Raw genomic sequence first — 20,859 nt, forward strand, 5'->3', positions numbered from 1 at the left:
TATCCTGAGTGAGACAGGAATCGGCCTCTAACTGGCTTCCTGGTGACTGTGCAGCTCAGCATTCACACCCCTAGCACTTCCAACCCTCCCTGCTGGGTCATGCCCGATCATATGTTTAGGAATTTCCCAGGCAGGGGAAGCACCACTCAGCCCTGACTCACCCACTGCCTAGTGCAAGGTGACATGGGCCACTCTGAATAACTCCACAACACTCTGCAGAATCTTGGCTTTTAAAACGAAAATGAGGACAGGGTTATTTCAACATATTAAAGTTATGTATACATGGTATTGGCTTGACCACCAAATCAACTAAAATGAGAGCAACCAACAGATCATGTTAATAGAGTGTCTCTGAGATGAGTGGTGACCCTTTGTACTTGTGCACTAGGACAACATCCAAGTGTCTGCAGGAATCTGCACATCCTACCCATGGCAACAAGGATAGGGTCTGGAGCCCAGGGAGACAAGGGTGGGTGGAGGGACCCTGACATTCCCATGACGTCTGCCCCTGTTCCAGTTTATAGCATGGACCCGAATCTAGTGAGCTTGCCCACAGGATTCCTCTCAGCCCCCAGAGGAGGACTCCTTTTACTGGGGCTGTGGGAAAGAACAGTTCAGTGACCTTTCCCAGCCTCTCAGCATCAGCTTGGCTGGGAAAGCTGGGTGGGCAGAGGAGGAGTCTCCTGAGGCTGGAGAAATTCAAGCAGAGACACCCTAGGAGGAGCCAGGCAGCTGATAAGAGCAGAAACATTATTGGGAGCCTCAGCTACAAATCTGGAAACTATATATTTTCAGTTTTATATACATGTTTATTCATCTATGCATTCATCCATCCATTATCCACCCTTCCAAGCACCCAATCCAATGAATTTTCATTGAGTATCTGCTACAAGCCAGTTTCTTGATGTAAGAACTCAGAAAGTTGTATCTACTAGAAATATGTTAATATTCTATGCCTTTAAAAATGTTGTATCCAACTCCAGAATGAGCCTTCCTCCCAATTTCCCATCTCTGCTTGTCAATTTCACCAACTCGTTTCTGTCCCTCGAGACCCAGCTTAAGGGCAGCCTGCTTGCTGTGGCTGCCATGATTTCTCCTTGGTGAAATCCACCAAGGGGCTGGCTCCTTGGTGGATATAGCCACTGCACCTGGTTGTCATAAACTCAGTAGCCAGTGGCCATACTGGGTTGACGCTGCTCCCAGGATGCACTCTCCCTAAACTCTTAAGTTTCTTTCTGACCTGGATCATAACACTGCATCTGTGTATACCCTGTAAACAGTGCACAGTCGGTTACTCAAAAATGTTTCCTGAGAAATGACATGAATGAAGAAAGATCAATTAACCAACTCTTTGTTTCCTCATTATTAAAAAACAATCCCTGATGGGTATTTCTAGTATGTGCCAGGCCCCTGCTGGGAGCTAAGGTTGCTGCCATGAGTGAGACCAGGCCAGGAGTCCCTGTCCTCATGGAGCTTCAGACAAAAGTCAAGGCAGCCTCCCCAGTCACAGATCAGCCCTCAGGATGGCCATGACGTGTGGGCTGAAGACTTTCCGTGGGTTCTGGACAGGAGAGCAGGAAGTGGGAAGTTCTGGTGGAAGTGTTTTAGGTGCTAGGGACCCTGAGCTGCGGCAGGAGAAAGGCAGAAACAGGGGCTTGAATATTAAAGGGAAAGATGGAGGAGTGTTTCAGGCATTGTCAGAGCAAAAGCCCTGGGCGGGGGCTCTTTCGGCTCATTTTCATGACTCTGTGCTTGCTTGGGAATTCAGTGGAATGAAAAGCCAGGCCCCAGGAAGAAGACCCAGAAAAACAGCTCTGCTAGGCCCACAGGAGAGAAGAGTTTGCGTCTTTGGAGGACTTAATTAATGAGGTAGACCTTTTGTGACAGAAGACATGAGGACCAAGAACTGGCTTGGCAGGCCCAGGGTCCAGGGGTTGCATGTTTGATACCCGTGACCCTGGATGACCACCTGATGGTACATGGAGGCCATGTGGGGGAGGGCTGGGTCCATCAGTGGCCCAGGAAGGGATCAGCCTCCAGAAGGAGCTGATGGTCACTCCAAAGGCCCCAGATATTTCAGACCACATTAGAAAGGCCGGCTTTTCCATCAGGCACAACAACTAGAGTCCATATCCTTCGAGTAGCTCATAGGAAAGTTTTAGTTCCTTTTACAATCAGAAGAAAAAAACATGAACACAATCTAGCCTAGATGATGTCTTTCCCCAATGCATTAGGGAGTGGGGGGCCCCTGCAGACAAATGTGCCCAGGGCCCAGGGAGGTCCCACTGTGGCCCGGCCTATCAGATCTTTTTATACAGACAACTAAAGTTGCATGCTTGTCTGAAAGGAGGGCTGAGAGAATGGTCTTAATATTGCTTGGAATGATTTAGGATTTGGTTTCAGGTCTGCTGGGAGAAGGGGTTTCTTTTTCTTTCCTTTTTCCACTCTGGGCTAATCCAACAGGTGATGACATCACACAAGACATTTATTTATTTGTTTGTTTATTTACTTTTGAGACAAGGTCTCGCTCTGTTACCCAGGGTGGAGTGCAGTGGCCTGATGATGGCTCACTGTAGTCTTGATCTCCTGGACTACAGAAATCCTCCCAACTCAGCCTCCAGAATGACTGGGACTACAGGCGTGCACTAACATACTTGGCTAATTTTTGTATTTTTCGTAGGGATGAGGTCTGGCTATATTGCCCAGCCTTGAGTTCTTAGGCTCAAGTGATTCCCCCTCTCTGGCCTCACAAAGTGCTGGGATTACCAGCATGAGCAACCACGCATAGCCAAGACATTTATTAAGAACACAGATCTCAAACACGAAGCCAGGGAGCTGCGTGAGGCCTGGTAAATTAGAAGACTCTCCAAGGCCCTTGAGTTTTCAGATGTTTTGTAGACTACACAATCCACTTACCTGGGCAGGGCAAAATGTTGCATTCCTGGTATTCCAGAGATGGGCCAAGGCAAGGCATTCCCCCATACTTGGGTTCGGGGTTGTTGCAAACACGCTTCCGGTTCCGAATGCCCCTGCTGCAGTCACGGCTGCACTGTGACCACGACGTCCAGGCTGACCAAGCCCCGTTGACCGTGTGGGCAGAGTATCTCCCAGCACGCAGGAAATCCCCAGAAAGCCCTGCCAAGGAAACAGGTGAAGTGTGATTCTGTTACAAGTTTCAGAGGAACTACAGTCCATGCTGACTTTCATTCTGTATCTGCTGTCTGCCTTATTTCTAGAACTACCCTCTCACATTCCGTTGAGCTCTTTTTACACTTCAGTAGCCAAAAATCAGTGGTGTGATAGCCTCTTATCTCTCAAGCTTGTTTCCTGCAATTACTATGAAATAAGGTTGAAATTAAGAACTCCATGTGAATGTGGTGAACCTTTACACAGTAAATAATAGATTCTATATAGGTAGTTCGTTTACTTTTTGAAGACACTTCTTACAAAGAAAACACAACTTTCTCACTTTCCTTGGGAATTCTACAACAAACTGCCCTCAGACACAATGGGTAGAGCCTGCCCTCAAGGACCTCCATCTGGAGGAAGGGAAACATAATTCAGACATTTTCTAAACCTATTCTTTCAGCTGTTAACCTTTCAAAGGTGAATTAATGCTGGTAAAAGGGGCCAAGTCAACTGCTTCTGGATCACAGGCCTGAGAAACTCCTGTCTGCTCTGTGGAACTCATGCCCTAGAACTGAACACAGCACTGAGTGACATTGGCAAACGTTTCTATGAAGTTTAGAGCACACTACCTAACAAAATGTGTTTCCCAAGGAGCCAAGAGAGGCAGCAGCAGCAGCAGGTGGGCTGTGGGGTGAGTGGGGAGTTGCTGTGGCAGGAATCACAGCCAACAGGCTTTGAGGACATATTGTGGGTGATGTGTACAGTGAGCACTTTCACTTGTTAAGTCACGTAATTAGCCATAGTCAAAATTTTATGAAAATGTCTTCCCACTCACAATACTAAAAAGTATTCAATAATTTTCTCAAATGTAGGCAATGTGACACAAGCTTTAACAAATAACTCTAAAAGTATGCAGTAAAGTTCCGGGGAAGTGTGCTCAGAAGACAAGTGTGCCAACAGCTCTCAGTGTTGTTAAGCAACTCTGTTGTTTACTTAGAAAATCTGTTTCTGAAAGGATGGCAGCATACTCTTCAGAGAAATTGAATTAGAATTGTCTGTCTGTGATAAATTAGTATTCTGTGGTGAATCAATAAAGAAAAACTATGCACAAATCAAGCCTCATTTTATGTGGTCAGAGGAAAATGAGTCCCATTTTGTGTTTTCAAGATATCAATACCAAAATGTGAAATGGTCATGAGAACTCAAAGCCATTGAGATACAGAAGAATAAAACTCTATGCGCACGTATGTTTATGGAGGCACTATTCACGATGGCAAAGACTTGAAACCTGGCCAAATGCCCATTGATGATAGACTGGATAAAGAAAATGTGGCACATATACACCATGGAATACTATGCAGTCATAAAAAAGGATGAGTTCATGTCCTTTGCAAGGACATGGATGAATCTGGAAACTATCATCCTCAGCAAACTAACACAAGAACAAAAAACCCAAACACTGCATGTTCTCACTCATAAGTGGGAATTGAACAATGAGAACACATGGACACCAGGAGGGGAACACCACAGACCGGGGCCTGTCGGGGGTAGGGAGCTAGGGGAGGGAGGTTGAGCCATGATTACACCACTGTACTCCAGCCTGGGCAACAGAGCGAGACCCTGTCTCAACAAACAAACAAGCAAAAACCAAAAAATTTCATGGGGCTTAGTCATTTAAAAAGTTATGTGGGATATACTTTTCCTGAAAAGGATTCATGGGATATACTTGTACTAGAAAAAAACTTCTAAAAGATAACTGAAACTTGCATTTAAATTTTGTGCTTCATCTCACCACCCTAGGTGGAGGTCACAAGATCATCCTTTATAAAATGTGCATATTTAAGTCCTCAGTTATCTTTCTCTTGGTATTTCATCATATACCTTCTCTTCTAAATACAGCAAGAGTTTACAAAATTAAAAAGAGTGACTATTATTTTGTTACCCATTTTTCCAGGTGAGTGGTATTTGTTTAAGTTGTACATAAAATACTGTATGAAAGCAGACTTTTTTATTTGCTTCAAGGAACAATGAGCTTGGGTAATCACTGAACTACAGTGAGCAGTGGTGTGAGGAGAGGAGAGAGTTAATGTCAGTGAGAGCAATAGGATGAGGAAGCAGGCTTGTAAAGCAAGTGGCTCCTGCTGCACCTGCTGGGCCTCCAGGCATCCAGGCTGTTCACCAGCTCCCAGGAGAAGTCATGGTGATCTGTGACACGAGAGCAGCTGGTGGCCGTCACACAGAGCCACACTGTCTCAGAGCCTTCCCTGTGGCAACACCAAGGAGATCTACCAAACCTCCATGAATTTATCCCACAATAAATTCTGTCCAACGTGGCAACACACCAGCTCGGTGGCACTTGTCCAGGCTATCCACTCTGGGTAAAAGACCCCTTCTCTGTAAATGGTGGCTGTCCTTTCGTGTTGGGAGAATAAGGTAGAATCACCTGTGCAAAGATGCTAAGGCAGATCTAAGAATGGCCACAAGATATAACAATCACTGTTCTCATCAAACTGTGTACCAAGGACCCATCTATGAGTATCTATTTCCTTTTCTGTTGGTATCTTTTCCTTTGGAAGAGATTTTGCCCAATTAGAGGAGGCTGAAAAACAGAAATGAAGAACAAAGCAAAGCATCAAGCTCTTAAGGACCACCAGGCTCAATTCCTTTTTCTGCAGTTGAGACAGCAGAGCTCTAGGAAGAGAAAGTGAATTGCCCCAGGTAAAAGGACCACTTGGTGTTAGGGCCAGGCAGAGGCCAGATCTGGTTTCTGCCTCAGGGCTTTCTCCATGCTATTACTATGGCATTCAAGGGATTTACTCAATTATAAGGAGCAAAGTTATTTCAAAGACTATTCTAGTATCCTTACACAATGTGCTTTTTAAAAACAGAAACATCCTTTTATAGGTACAAAGAGAAATGCACTTCCATTGCCTTTGTGAAGTTTTGGGATAAATAAAGAAAAACCTTTTTTCAGCTTACATTTTAGTGCCAGAAGATGTATGAAAGATCAGTGATGCTTCCCCAGTACATTTTCTGATACTGAATAAATCTCACACAAATGATTCTGGGTCTATAATAAATATAGTGTTATCTGGGGGCCTGATTTCATAGTATCACTTCAATATCTAACTTCTTACAGTAAGGCTCCTTTCTTTCAATTTGTCCTACAGTCAGTTGTGCTCTACAGGGATCATTGTTTTCAAGGCTGCTAAGCCATAAATAACCAAAAAGGAAAATGCCCCCTTGCTGTTTATGACCTTAGAGAAAAGATCAAAGGCCCTTCCATGGAAGTGGGTCAGTCCCCACGGAATCACTACTCACCATCTGTGGAGCAGCCACTGGTGCCGTCGCTAGAACAGTACCGCATTTCGATTCTCTGTCTTCCCACTTCCAGCAAATTCGGATCAGCCAGGCGGGCTTTGCATGTGTATCGGAATCGTTGCTCATAGTGGCCGCCGTTGTCAGAGATGTTGACAGGTGTCCAGGGTGTCCAGGGCGTGGTCTTCTTCAGCTCAGGACACGGGTTGGTGTTGCAAGACTGGTACTCCTGGGGAGAATGCGCAGACGAGTGTTACTATACGGGGTAAACAGAGCAACCTCACGAAGGGCTCCTTTCCTTTAGGGAAAGATAAGGGTCTCTAAAACACCAGCTCCTAAGACACTCACAGCTACTCTACCAAACTAAAAACACATTTATGTTAAATTAGGTATTCAACAGAATGCTCAGTGTTCAAGACATCTCCAAAAGGAATCCCCACAGTCTCTCCTGTGTAAACAATGGGAATGAGACAACAAACTTAATTGCTTGTGGGAAAAAAACCCACCGATCCCATAAAAATCGTCTTCCTTTCACTTAATGAGTAGCTAAAAGTACCCATTATTCCGATGTTAAGTTTAGCTATTTTCTTTAAAAGATTGATTTGTAAACCTCACAATATTCAGTTTGAGATTAATGGATGTTTTAAGACCTGGGATCACAGATGTGAGGTGTTAGAGTGGTAGGGGAGCCACAAGATAAAATGATGCAAGAGACTTTTTTTACGTATAAGGTTTCCCATCATCTCACAGCTAACACCTTCAAGGCCCTTCTGAGCTTCTCCTGAGAGTACACTAAAATGTAAGTTCTGTTCCCTCCCTCCCAGGTACCTCCCTTGTAACCACAGGTAGGAGGATCCTGGGTAGCTGAACATGCAGTGGCTTTGGAGGTCTGGCACGTGGAGATGATGAAAATCTGCCTGGAGCACCTACTGATTTATTTGACAAGCATTCTACATACAATTGCTGCAGACACAGAGCCCAACAGGAGGGATACAGGAGTTGACCTTGGATACAGTGTGACATAATTTCTCCATTTTACACCAACGGGTTTCACTGGAGGGAAACCCATACACATAATACACCTAGTGATGGCCACAGGATTAAAGATTTTTAACAATGTTTTATTAATAAAATAAGAATTAAATCACTCTTTAAGCTTTATCATAAAATAAAATAAAATAAAATAAATTGCTCTATCATTCCTCCACCTCTTTCAGTTGCAGATTTTGATACTTATCTCCATAGAGCTAAACTTGAGTTTGGGTCCTTTTGGTAAAACCTTTGAATCTACAAATTCCTTTGGTTTTAGAAATATTCTTGATTACTTCATTTCATGCTCTCCCTCCCTTTTCTTGCTGCATCTCTTATCTTTTGGATGTAAACTCATTTATCCATTTTCACGTTTCTCATCTTTTATCTCATAGTTTCCATATCTTCATCTTTTGCTTTAGTTTCTGGAAGATTTCCTCAACCTTATCTTTCAAAATGATGATTGAAATATTCATCTTCTCTACTACATTTTAAATTTCCAAAAGCCCTTTTGTGTCTTTTTTTTTGGTTCTTGATTATTCCCTGTTATTGTATGCTATTCTTATTTTTTTGGTCACACTACTTTCTCCAATTTGAGCACATTGATGATTTGAATACTCTGAGTACTTTGATGAATTATTTCAAGGTTGTAGTCTTTCTCTATAGCTTCTGTATCTTCTAATTGCTGAATTCCCTTTGCTTTTTTGGATCTCTATCTTTCTTGTTAGATTGTTTCTTCTGTGATCTGAACAGTCTTTGTTTTCTGCTCTGATTTAGAGTGGAGGGCTAAAAAGTTTAACTGGAAGGTCTGTAGCACAGAGAAGTCTGTAGACCTGGTCAGATCTGGTTGAGATCTTTAAACAGAATTTAAGAATCTTTGTCAGAATCTTAAACCTTTCCTGCTGGACTCTTCAGAGACCCCTGAGAAGACTGCTCCAGTGTCTTGCCTGTCTGGATGCTGGAGGCTGAGCCATGGAGGATCTGGGAGCTGAGTGGAGGAAGAGGGCAGAACTCTCAGTGTCCAGTAGACACCCACTTATCTCACTCTGCCGTTCTCAGTTCTGAAGCACCCAGTTAACTGAGCCCAGTGCTCAGAGGTCCAGAGACGCTCTGTTTTCCTCTCCAGAAAATAAGCTTCCTATCATCTGCTGGACAGAGCAGGTCTAGTCCCCTTGGTGGAGTGGGAGAGAGGTATGGAGGTCTGATAACTTCTTAAACAGAAGTCACCCAATGTTGTTTTGCCACTAACAAAAAAAATGGGGCTGTGGATTCCTAAGCTCTCTGAGGGGTCTCTGGTGTGCATTGAGATGATTATTTTCATGTATGTGCTGGGGGTCCCCAAGATCCCTCCAGTTTCTATGATTAGATAGCAGGATCCATAGGACTCTGTGTGCAGCAGTGTTCTCAGCTAAAATGTATTACGGTAAAAGACTACAAAGCAAAATCAGCAAAGAGAAAATGCACATGGGGTAGAAGTGCAGACAAAGCCAGGCAGCACAACCAAGAGTCCTCTCTCAGCAGAGTCATGAAGGATGTGCTCAGGTCGCCCAGCAGCTAGTTGTGATGACGTACAGGGAAGGTGGTCTACCAGGGAAGCTCACTGGAGACTTGGTGCTCAGGGTTTTCACCGGGGTCTGGTTGCAGAAGCATCCTTGTTTTGCATGTACCAAAAGTTCAGATTCCCCCAAGGAAGCTTTCAGTATACACCACATTGTTTGTACAGACAATTTAAGCACAGAGAGCCATTCTTGCCATCTGGGAATGGTAGAAACCTTCCTGAAATCCAGATTCCCAGATGCCAGCCAACAGCTAGCCTTGCGAGCAGGCCTTTCTAAGAATCACAGGACTGGGAAGCATTGTCTTCCACATAGTTCTCCTCTGTTAGACTTGAATTCATGCTTCTTCGATGTATTTCCAGATTCTACTTTTTAAAAACAACATGGTTCTTTCTCTTTTTTTCTGACTTTGCGCATTCATGCCTTGAAAAATCAACCCCTCTAACACTGTATTAGTATGTTTCCAGTGGGATAGAAAGCAACTTGTGTGTCCATGCCACCAACTTTACCTGGGAACCTAATACAATCTTTATTTTGTACTGTTTTAAATACTCTAACTAGCTTTCTTTACTCACAATGCATTTATTTTTTATTTTTTTTACAGCGGATAACACTCAGGATTTTTGTGACATCATAGGCTTTTAACAGAAAATATGTAAGGCGATCATCGCTGTTTCTTTGATTTAATACTCTCTAGGCATTCCTCCCGGCCTGCATGATCTCTACATCAACAAATACTAGAAAGATAGATGACTTCATTTTCTTGTGTTTATAGCATCTTTTATTATGGCATCTTTTGAATGCTGCCTCTTAAATGAAAAAGCCCCAATGAATGCCATAAACCCAGTCATGTGAAAAGCCAGGCACAACGCGTGTGTGATCTCTTTCACTTGGAATGAAAACCACATGACAGGAAAGCCATAAACCCTTGTCTTGGACCCTCTGTGCCTCTAGTGTGGGGATGCTCTCACCTCTGGATTGAGAATGTCATATGCCACTGCCCTTCCCTCCCTCACTCCGAGCCAGCCTGGCCAGATAAGAATCCTGGAGTTCCTTGCTGAAATGGGCTCAAAACACATGCAGCTCGGCCATGCGTGGTGGCTCACATCTGTAATCCCAGCACTTTGGGAAGCCAAGGTGGGCGGATCACCTGAGGTCAGGAGTTCGAGACCAGCCTGGCCAACATGGTGAAACCCTGTCTCTACTAAAAATACAAAAATTAGCGGGGCATGGTGGCAGGTGCCTGTAGTCCCAGCTACTCGGGAGGCTGAGGCATGAGAATTGCTTGAATCTGGGAGGCGGAGGTTGCAGTGAGCCGACATTGTGCCACTGCACTCCAGCCTGGGCAGCAGAGTGAGACTCCATCTCAAAAAAACAAACAAACAAAAATCATGTGCAGTTTATGGGCCTCTGTTTGAAAAGTGCTGGTCTTTAGGTCTTAACAAATGCAGCATTACCTATAAATTAGTAAAATCCTACATCTTCATAAACAGATTTATAGGATACCACCAATAATTCTTAGGTTTCCCACACTGCAAACTTCATTCTTTCTATGGAGATGAAGTTTAATTTTTGAAATGTATGAGGGGCAAATGTGTTTGAAAGCTGGCTCAAGTGTCTGCATTGGCATCTGTGTGTTGGTCCCAGAGGTGGGCACAGCTCACGGCTAAGAAAGATCAGTTTAGTCTCTTCAGATCTAAGCCTCCAACAACAGTCTGTTCTTATGTTCTTATTTTCTCATGGTTCAAAATTTAACATGAGACTCAGAATTTCTCCTTTCAAGTGCTTTTTGAGGTTTAATTATGATACATTCACTTGAAGTATCAAATTATGAAATGGTGAGAAATGGTATGGCCAATTTGTTTTATCTTAATGAGCAAAATCATGAAGTGATTTAATTCTATTGTGATCACTTATATGGCTTAACTGAATATGTATGTTACAATTTACTAGAGAACTGCTGCTGTAACTATCCAAATGTAAATGGAACTTTAACAAAACTGCACTTAATACTAAAGAGATAAATGATTTTAAAAAGGATTTCAGGAAGCTAACTATTATGATTTGGCACCTAAGGTTCTTAATATTCTGGTGCAAAATATGAGATAAGAATGCTTACTAAAGCAATTATAAATAATTCCTCCAAATATGTTCCCCACGTATTATGTATTCCAGTCAACAGTGATAAAAGCACTCATTTAAATGTTTAATCCTGCAACCCGGGAGACACTCTGCCAGTTCTCCCTTACTTCTATGCCAAGTACTACAGTCATGGCTTCCTGTGTTCCTTCTGTCCTCTCCATCTTAATTGCCTCTTCTAATTCAGGCCCCCATCACCATAGGCCTGATTTAGAGAATCAAAGCATGTAGTTCCTTAAAGCTTAAGTGCCTATTTATAATTCTGCATCCACTAATAGACTGCAAATTTGTCAAAAGCAAGAACTTTGTCACGTTTATTTTATATTACCAATCTTGGGCATAGTAACACTATTTGGTAAATGGATAAATCATATTGATTAAGTAACAGATAAGTCTACTGAGATGAAATTTGCATACATTTGGGGAACAGATTTAGATAGTTAAGTGGGACCTCCTGTTTTGCTGTTTATTTTTCCCTTGAGAAAATTAAAATATCTCATATTTCATACATTGCAAGTAAAGTAGAGAGACAGAGACAACCCAAGCAGAATTTTGATACCACATGCTCAGAGTGAAGCCCAAAAATTACCCTTCAAGTCATCTCATCCACAACTGAATATGTAAATCAAATTTATTCTCATATGGAATACTTATGGTTTCCATATGCATTTATCAAGTTCTCTTTCAGTAACTAAGCTTGGCCTGCTGAGACTGAAAGCAATTCACATTAGAGAAATAACAAAGTAATTGAATTGTGCTTGCAAAGAGCCAAAACACTCAAGTATCTACATGGAAGTAGAACCATGCTCCCAGGAGCTTGTGGCAAACAGAACAAAGATTGACTGGAAGTTCTGGAAATTAGTTTAGTTGTACCCAGTAAGGAAGGTATATAAAGGAATGTGGTGCATTCAAAATTATATGGTCACAGAGTGTCTTCTGTTTCCCACCAATATGGAGTAAGAGAAACTGGATTAACCCTTTTATCCAAATAACAAAAAGTTATATTAAATAATGGTTCTTAAAGTACTGGACTTCAGGCAATGAAGGTCAGTGATCACTGAGTAATGGGAGACAACTTATGGGAGACCCATGAGTGCCACAACCTACAGCCTTGAGAAGGTTCCCAGGCCACAGCATGGGGAGCAGAAACCCAGGCACAGGCTAGAGACTGAGAAGACAGGTTTGGGAGCTGGAGAATGCCAAAGTGGCTGAAATTATTGGAAAGGAGAAAGTTGCACAAAATGAACACACCAGTGATGTGCAAAAATCACCCATCACGATTTCAATTGAGTACAAATCAGGTAACAGAGGTTTTGACTTAAAAAATCAGCAAGTTCATGTGAGAAACTACACAGGAATAGGGAAAGATCTGCCTGAAATGATCAGAGGGAACACTGTGTGTTACCCACACAGGACCAGGAACAGTGCTTGCTTCAAAGAGCAAAACCAAAAGACCTCATAATTCAAGGGTCATTGGTTGGATACCAAAAGGGGCCTTGCTTCCACAGTGGGGAAAAATTACTGCAGACTAAATGTGGCTTTGATCCCAAGTAACTAAGACTAAAAGCAAGCACCAAAACCATCAAACTGTTTTTACATAACTTAATTATGTCCTCAAAGAGAACCTTAGCATATTTTTAGGACAAAAAAATTGTCTACCAGTTTAAATTCACAATGTCTTGCATCCAATCTAAAATTACCGGATATGGAAAGAGGCCAAAAACATGACCCGTAATGAAGAGAAAAATCAGTCAATTGAAACTGATGCAGATATGACACAGATGACAGAATCTGTAGTCAACAGCATCAAAACAGTAATTATAACTGCATCCCATATGTTCAAGGAAGACCTCGAAGAGATAAGGAAGAAACAACTTGCAACATGCCAGCTGTAACATACAAAATATTTGCAGATAATTGCAAACGAGACAGTATCTCCCAAGTCATTCTATGAGGCCAACTTTGATATCAAAACCAGACAAAGACAGAAAGAAAGAAAACTACATGAATGTAGTTTTCTATTCCTCATGAATGAGTATTCCTCATGAATGTAGATGTTAACATTCTTAAAAAGAATTTAAGAAATCAAACCCAAAATATATCAAAAGGTTAACACCTCATGATCAAGTGGCTTTCATGTCATCAATGAAAGACTGGGTTATCATTTGAAATTCAATTAACGTAATTCATCATATGAACTGTATAGAAGTAAACTCATGTAATAATCTCAATAGATGCAAAAATTATTGGATAAAAATCAAAATTAATTCCTTATAAGAACTCTCAATCAACTTGGAATTCAAATAAATTTCCTAAATCTCATGAAGGATATCTATTAAAAACCTACAGACTGAATCACACTTAATGGTTAAAGCCTGTGTGCTTTCCTCCTAAGATGAGAAACAAGGCAAGGATGTCTGTCCTTATCACTTTTATTCAAGATTATCCTGGAAGTTCTAGCCAGTGCAATCAGGAAAGAAAAAGAAACGAAAGTCATCCATATTAAAAGTAAGAAATAATTATATTTTTACTCTCATACAATATGATTGTCTATGTAGAAACTGTTATGGAGTCTACCAAAAAAAAGCTACTAGAAGTAATAAATTAATTTATTAAGGCTGCAGAACACAAGATCAATGTAAATATAAAATATTATTTCATTCCCATGCACCAGCAACAAGCTACCAGAAATTAAAATTTTAAAAGAACACTACTTATAGTAGCATCAAAACATAAAATACTTAAGATTAAATCTCAAAAAAATATGTGCATGACTTTTACAATGAAAGGAAATGGAATCACTACAATCCTAATTATAATTCCAGGAGGCATTTTTGGTAGAAATTAACAAGCTAATTCTAAATTTCATATGGAATACAAAGTTATCTAGAATAGTCAAAATATTTTGGCAAGGAAGAACAAAGTAGGAAGACATACTTTCTAACTTCAGGATTCATTATAAAGGTACAATAATCAAGATTCTGTGGTATAAGCATCAAGATAGAAAGACTGAGCAAAAGAACAGAATGGAAAGTCTAGGAATTGACCCACCTGTTTATGGCTTATTGGTTTGTTTTGTAAATGTGCAAAGGCAATTCAATGGAGAAAGCATAGTCTCTTCTGAAAATGATGTTGGAATAATTGAATATCCACATGTGAAAACATGAATTTTGATCAATAACTTGTTCCATCTATGATAATTGATGTAAATGGATCATAGCCCAATATCTAAAACCAAAGAACTCCTAGAAGCAAACACATGAGAACACCTGTGGGGTCTTAGGTTAAGCAAAAATTTTCTAAATAAAATACCAAAAGCACCATCCATAAAATAAAAAAAACAATTAAAATGAATTAATCAAAATAAGAAGTTTCTGCCTTTTAAGGATCACTGTTAAGAAAATTAATGATGAGCTATATAGTCTGAGAGAAAGTATTTGCAAATCATGTATCTGATAAAAAGACTTGCACCCATTATGTATTTTAAAAGTTAAAACTAGAGTATAAAAACTAACTAATAGAAAAACTGCTGAAAGATATGTATAGGCATTTCAACAAAGATATGTGATGGCAAAACAAGCGTATGTAAACTTAGAAAAAGGTAAATTGAAACCACAAGTAAACCACTACACATGTATTAGAATGACTAAAATTCAAACAACAGAAAAAACAAAAGCCCCCAAACCCAAAATCGTGTCACAGTATCAGATGCTGAGGAGGACACAATGCTTTAGATTTACTCAGCCACCCCAAATAAACACCTGGTGCATGTATTTGGATCTGGTCCATAGAACGGAAAAAGACTCAATTTTCAGAATGCTACAAGACAAACTCAGTATATGCCAGTTACTCTGAAGACAGGTTGATGATTTAGAGATTTTTAGATATTCCTGGTTTCTTTCCACTACTCTTACTAGTCATAAAAACACAATAAAATACAATAGAAATGTTTTGAAAAAAATGTGAAAACAATATTATAACCAAAAAGTTGAGTATTTCTAAGTAGAAATTAATCCACAATCCCACTGTTTTCTATGCAGTAACTCCATTTCTGCAGGTTTGCTCTATCTCATACACTGCTGATAGCATTGTAAATGGCACAAGCCATTTGAAAACTGTTTGATACTTTCCTAAGAAGTCAAACGTATACATATCACATAGCCTACTCATTCCATTCCTCTATATTTACCCAAGAGAAAATGAAACACATGCCCATACAAACACTTGTACCTGAATGTTCACAAAAGCTTTAATTGTAATAGACAAGAAACTGGAGACAACTCATATGGCCATCAGCAGATGGATAGCTAAACGAATAATCTTATGGAATATTAATCAGCAATTAAAAGAAATGAACTCTTAATATACAAAACAACAAAGCATCTGAAAATAATTATGCACATAAAAAAGCCAGCAAAAAAAAAAAGGTGTGACACTGTAGAATTCTATTCATATAACATTAGGGAATATGAAAACTAATGCATAGAGACAGAAAGCAATCAGTGCTTATCTGAGATGAGGGAGTACTGGGACGGGTATCAGGGAGGTGTTGCAAAAGGAAATGAGGAAATGGGTTGATGGACATGTTCACTACCTTTATTGTGTCAATGGTTTTATGAATGTATAAATACCTTAAAACTGACCAAAATTTTATCATTTTAAACATGTAGTGCATTGTATGCCAACCATACCTCAATAGAGGTACAAAACTGTATGGTCTCAGAAAAACAAGCCTCTTTCTAATACATGGTGGCTTCTTTGCTATTTAGAAATTATATCTTCAGGCCAGGCATGGTGGCTCACGCCTGTAATCCCAGCACTTTGGGAGGCTGAGGCGGTTGCATCATGAGGTCAAGAGATCAAGACAATCCTGGTCAACATGGTGAAACCCCGTCTCTACTAAAAATACAAAAATTAGCTGGGCATGGTGGCACGTGCCTGTAGTCCCAGCTACTCAGGAGGCTGAGGCAGGAGAATTGCTTGAACCCGGGAAGCGGAGATTGCAGTAAGCCGAGATCGCACCACTGCACTCCAACCTGGTGAGAGAGTGAGACTCCATCTCAAAAAAAAAAAAAAAAAAAAGAAATTATCTTGAAATCATGTCATTTGCAGCAACACAAATGGAGCTGAAGGTCACTATCTTTAGTGAAATAATTCAGGCCCCAAAACACAAATATCACATGTTTTCACTTATATGCCAGAGCCAAAAAAAGTTGATCACATGGAGGTAGAGAAATATAGTAAATAGAGTTTGAGAAAGGTAAGTGGAAGAAAGAGAGGAGGATGAAGAGAAATGGATTAAAAGGTAAAAACATGCAGCTGGATAGAAGGAGTAAATTCAGTATTTGATAGCAGAGTAGGGTAACTATAATTAAGCAGAAATGCATTGTACTTGGGTGGTGGACACCCTAAATACCCTGACTTGATCACACACATTATATACATGTAACAATATTTCATGTGTACACTACAAATTTGTACAAATAAAAAATGGTATCCAAAACAACTATGAGTTTATACATTCCTGTATATAGTAAAATCATCGTAATTTTTTTCATGGCATTTATGTTTGCTTATTTAGGACTGAATATGACCAGTATTTGTAGATAAATGCTTCATAAAGCATGCACCATCCATTCATTTTCACTTTCCACCATATATGTCCACAAAATGACACTGTTATCTACCACATAGCCAGCCAGTGCATTGACTATGCATTACGATCTTTGTGTGTGTGTGTGTGTGTGTGTGTGTGTGTGTGTGTGTGTAGCCTGTGCATGTTCCTCATTCTTTTAAAATCACTTATGTCTCTTCTAATCAGTTTCTTTGGTCACAGTGCTTTTTCATGCTGGCACAGGCCTTTGAACATGAGGAAGTTATCATACAATCACCTTCCATGGGATTTGGAGAAGTGTGGGAGTCACAGGGTAACTTAGGAGAACTTGGCTTCCAGGACTGTTTCTTACTTACTCACCATCCAATCCTCTGCAAAACATCTTTAAATGCTTGTAATACCTCCCAACAAAGGCCATATAAGAGGATAGAGAAGCTGATCTCCTAACACCAAAATGCCTTTGCAATCCACAACCTTGCTTTAGATTTACTTAGCCATCCCAAATAAACACCCAGTGCATGTATTTGGATCTGGCTCATAGAAGGGGAAAAGAATCGATATTCAAAATGCCGAAAGACAAACTCAGTATACGCTAGTTACTCTGGGGAGAGGTTAATGATTTAGATATTTTAGATATTCCTGGTTTCTTTCCACTACTCTTACTAGTCATAGAATCACAATAAAATGCAATAGAAACGTTTTGAAAAAATGTGAAAACAATATTGTAACCAAAAAGTGAGCATTTCTAAGTAGAAAATCATCCACAATCCCACTATTCTATGCAGTAACTGAATTTCTGCAGGTTTGCTCTAAGTAGCTACAGTACTCTCTACATACCTTATCATGCATCATGAACCTTTATTATGCCACTTGTTTGCAAGGCGGTCTCCCAAGCATGTGAGCTTCCCCAGGGCAAAGCCTGGGATGGATGCGACTTCAGGTCTCACCTGGGTAACTGACACCCTCACTGGCTCGAAGTGGGGAGTAACTGAGCCAAAATCTCTGGGGCTTTTGAATGGCCGCATTCACTTTCAACCTGTAGCCAACCTGGGTTCTTCTAAGTGCAGAAAAGCAAACACATACTCCTCTGCTTTCTTGCTCAAAAGTGATGTATGTATGTGCACAACATATATATGTGCGTGTACGTACAAAAATGGAACTACCTTTCCTCCTTACCCATTATTTTAGGCATTCCTTTTTATAACAGCCTAAAGCTCAGGAGAATAAGAAAATCAGTGCTGTCACTGGAAATCTTTATTACAGAGGCTGTGATTTGTGGGCATTTTGCTTCCATAAACTTACATCTCAAATGAGAAGATCCATCTATTTATTTTATTGTCTCACTGTAATGCCTTTAAATTCTCACTCTCTGAGAGCAAAAGCCAGGAATTCAGATATCTTTTTCCTAGCAAATATCTTGCAATGAGAGGAGTAACTACTTTTAGATAGAAGCAAATGCCTGTCCTTTGGGAAACGTTTCCTTCTCAAGCTAACAATTGAAATCGGTGACCTTGAGCAGAGGCATCTGCCTTTTATTTCTAATCTTCCATTTTTAAGGGGAAAATGTTTAAACATACTATAAGTGCTTGAGAACATGATGATAATTTGTACAGATTTTAAGAGTTCTTATGAGGAACTTTGGAAGCATTGAATACATAACAAAAGTCTAAGCGAGACTGTGTTATTTAAGATTAAGGTTTCAGCAGGACTGTCATGAATTTGCCTTTACAATAATGCATGGGGACATTTACCCCAGATTCTTTGAAGGACAAAAAAAAAAAGTGGCAAATATTGGTCTGCCTTCTGACCAGAAAATTTCAGCTGGGTATGTACACACACACACACACACACACACAGTCATACATATGCAACAATAAGAAAAACAAAATTTAGAAAAAAAAATTCTGCCTATAATAATAGGATTTGTATGGGATGGTTACAGACACATAAACATACTTGTATAGGACCAAACTGGCTCCATTTTTTGGCAAGAAAATATAAAATAAAATTAGAATAATAGAGTACTTATGGCAGACATAGGGTAAAGCCATACTCATGTCCTTGGGAAACCATCTCATTGATAAAAATTTATATTGCATTAAAAACTCTTCATTCAGCAGCATAGGCCACTAATAGTAAATAGTTTGCAAAGACCTGATGATTAGTCTATGATAAGTTAATATTTTCTGTTTAAATTGATATCTAACATTTTTAAGTTTTGAGCTTTTGAGAAATATAAAAAATATAAATACAGAAACTATAAATATAAATAAAAATAAATGTGAATCGCATGGCTTAAATATATACCAACTTGCTTTTTACCTGAAAATTAATGGCAAATAATTTAAATACCATTTTCCTCTCCTAGATCATTTGGATGCCATTTAAAATTTTTTGCTTTTTAAAACTAACACTCCTTAGCAAATGCAAAAGAACGGAAATCATAATAAACAGTCTCTCGGACCACAGTGCAATCAAATTAAAACTCAGGATTATGAAACTCACTCAAAACCACACAACTACATGGAAACTGAACAACCTGCTCTTGAATGACTACTGGATAAATAACAAAATTAAGGCAGACATAAATAAGTTCTTTGAAACCAATGAGAACAAAGACACAATGTACCAGAATCTCTGGGACACAGCTAAAGCAGTGTTTAGAGGGAAATTTATAGCACTAAATGCCCACAAGAGAAAGTAGGAAGGATCTAAAATTGACATTCTAACATCACAATTAAAAGAGCTAGAGAAGCAACAGCAAACACATTCAAAAGCAAGCAGATGACAAGAAATAACAAAGAAAGAGCTTCTGCACAGCAAAAGAAACTATCATCAGAGTGGACAGGCAATCTACAGATGGGATAAAATTTTTGCAGTCTATCCATCTGACAAAGGGCTAATATCCAGAATCTACAAAGAACTTACTTAAACAAATGTACAAGAAAAAAACAAACAACCCCATCAAAAAGTGGGTGAAGGATATGAACAGATACTTCTCAAAAGAAGACATTTATGCAGGCAACAAACATATGAAAAAAAGCTCAACATCACTGGTCACTAGAGAAATGCAAACCAAAAACACAATGAGACACCATCTCACGCCAGTTAGAATGGTGATCATTAAAAAGTCAGGAAACAACAGATGCTAGAGAGGATGTGGAGAAATGGGAATGATTTTACACTGTTGGTGGGAATGTAAATTAATTCAACCATTGTGGAAGACAGTGTAGCGACTCCTCAAGGATCTAGAACCAGAAATACCTTTTGACCCAGAAATCCCATTACTGGGTATATATCCAAAGGATTATAAGTCATTCTACTATAAAGACACATGCACATGTATGTTTATTGCAGCACTGTTCACAATAGCAAAGACCTGGAAACAACCCAAAATACCTATCAATGACAGACTGGATTTAAAAAATGTGGCACATATACACCGCGGAATACTATGCAGCCATAAAAAAGGATGAGTTCATGTCCTTCGCAGAGACTTGGATAAAGCTGGAAACCATCATTCTCAGCAAACTAACACAAGAACAGAAAACCTAACACCACATGTTCTCACTCATAAGTAGGAGTTGAACAATGAGAACACATGGACACAGGGAGGAGAACATCACACAGGGGAGCCGGTTGGGGGTGGCTAGGGGAGGTATAGCATTAGGAGAAATACCTAATGTAGATGACAGGTTGATGGGTGCAGCAAACCATCATGGCACATGTATACCTATGTAACAAAACTGCACGTTCTGCACATGTATCCCAGAACTCTTAAATTAAAAAAAAAAAAAACTGAATGAACTTAGGATGAAACAATTGTAGCATCTTCTATTGTTTTACTCAATTGGTAAAACTACTAAAGACCTCCACAAAGACTCAGGGGTAACGATGTAGTTTGCACTACTCAGTCTTCTTGTATTTCATGAGGCATGTGGTGTTGTGTGTCCTCAGGGTCCACAGGTGAACAGTCCTGCTTAGAGCCTTCAGAGCAGCTGGTCCATCTTCTTCCATCACCTGCACCCTGACTCCTTCATTGTAACGCAGCTCTGATCTGAGGGGCCCTCTGAT

General features: G+C 40.0%; 1 protein-coding gene across 11 annotated transcripts in view; it reads right to left on the reverse strand.

The window, feature by feature from the left end:
• SEMA5A (semaphorin 5A) overlaps positions 1–20,859 on the reverse strand; it is a 511,043-nt gene that overhangs the window by 24,938 nt on the left and 465,246 nt on the right. For all 11 annotated transcript variants that reach the window (XM_011514158.3, NM_003966.3, XM_011514157.3 and 8 more), the window contains 2 exons: positions 6,451–6,676; positions 2,917–3,135 (listed from right to left, as the gene is read on the reverse strand). In XM_011514158.3, the coding sequence (XP_011512460.1) occupies positions 2,917–3,135; positions 6,451–6,676 (445 nt within the window). The remainder of the gene's footprint in view (positions 1–2,916; positions 3,136–6,450; positions 6,677–20,859) is intronic.

This window comes from Homo sapiens, chromosome 5 (genome assembly GCF_000001405.40).
Source record: "Homo sapiens chromosome 5, GRCh38.p14 Primary Assembly".
Taxonomy (NCBI): domain Eukaryota; kingdom Metazoa; phylum Chordata; class Mammalia; order Primates; family Hominidae; genus Homo; species Homo sapiens.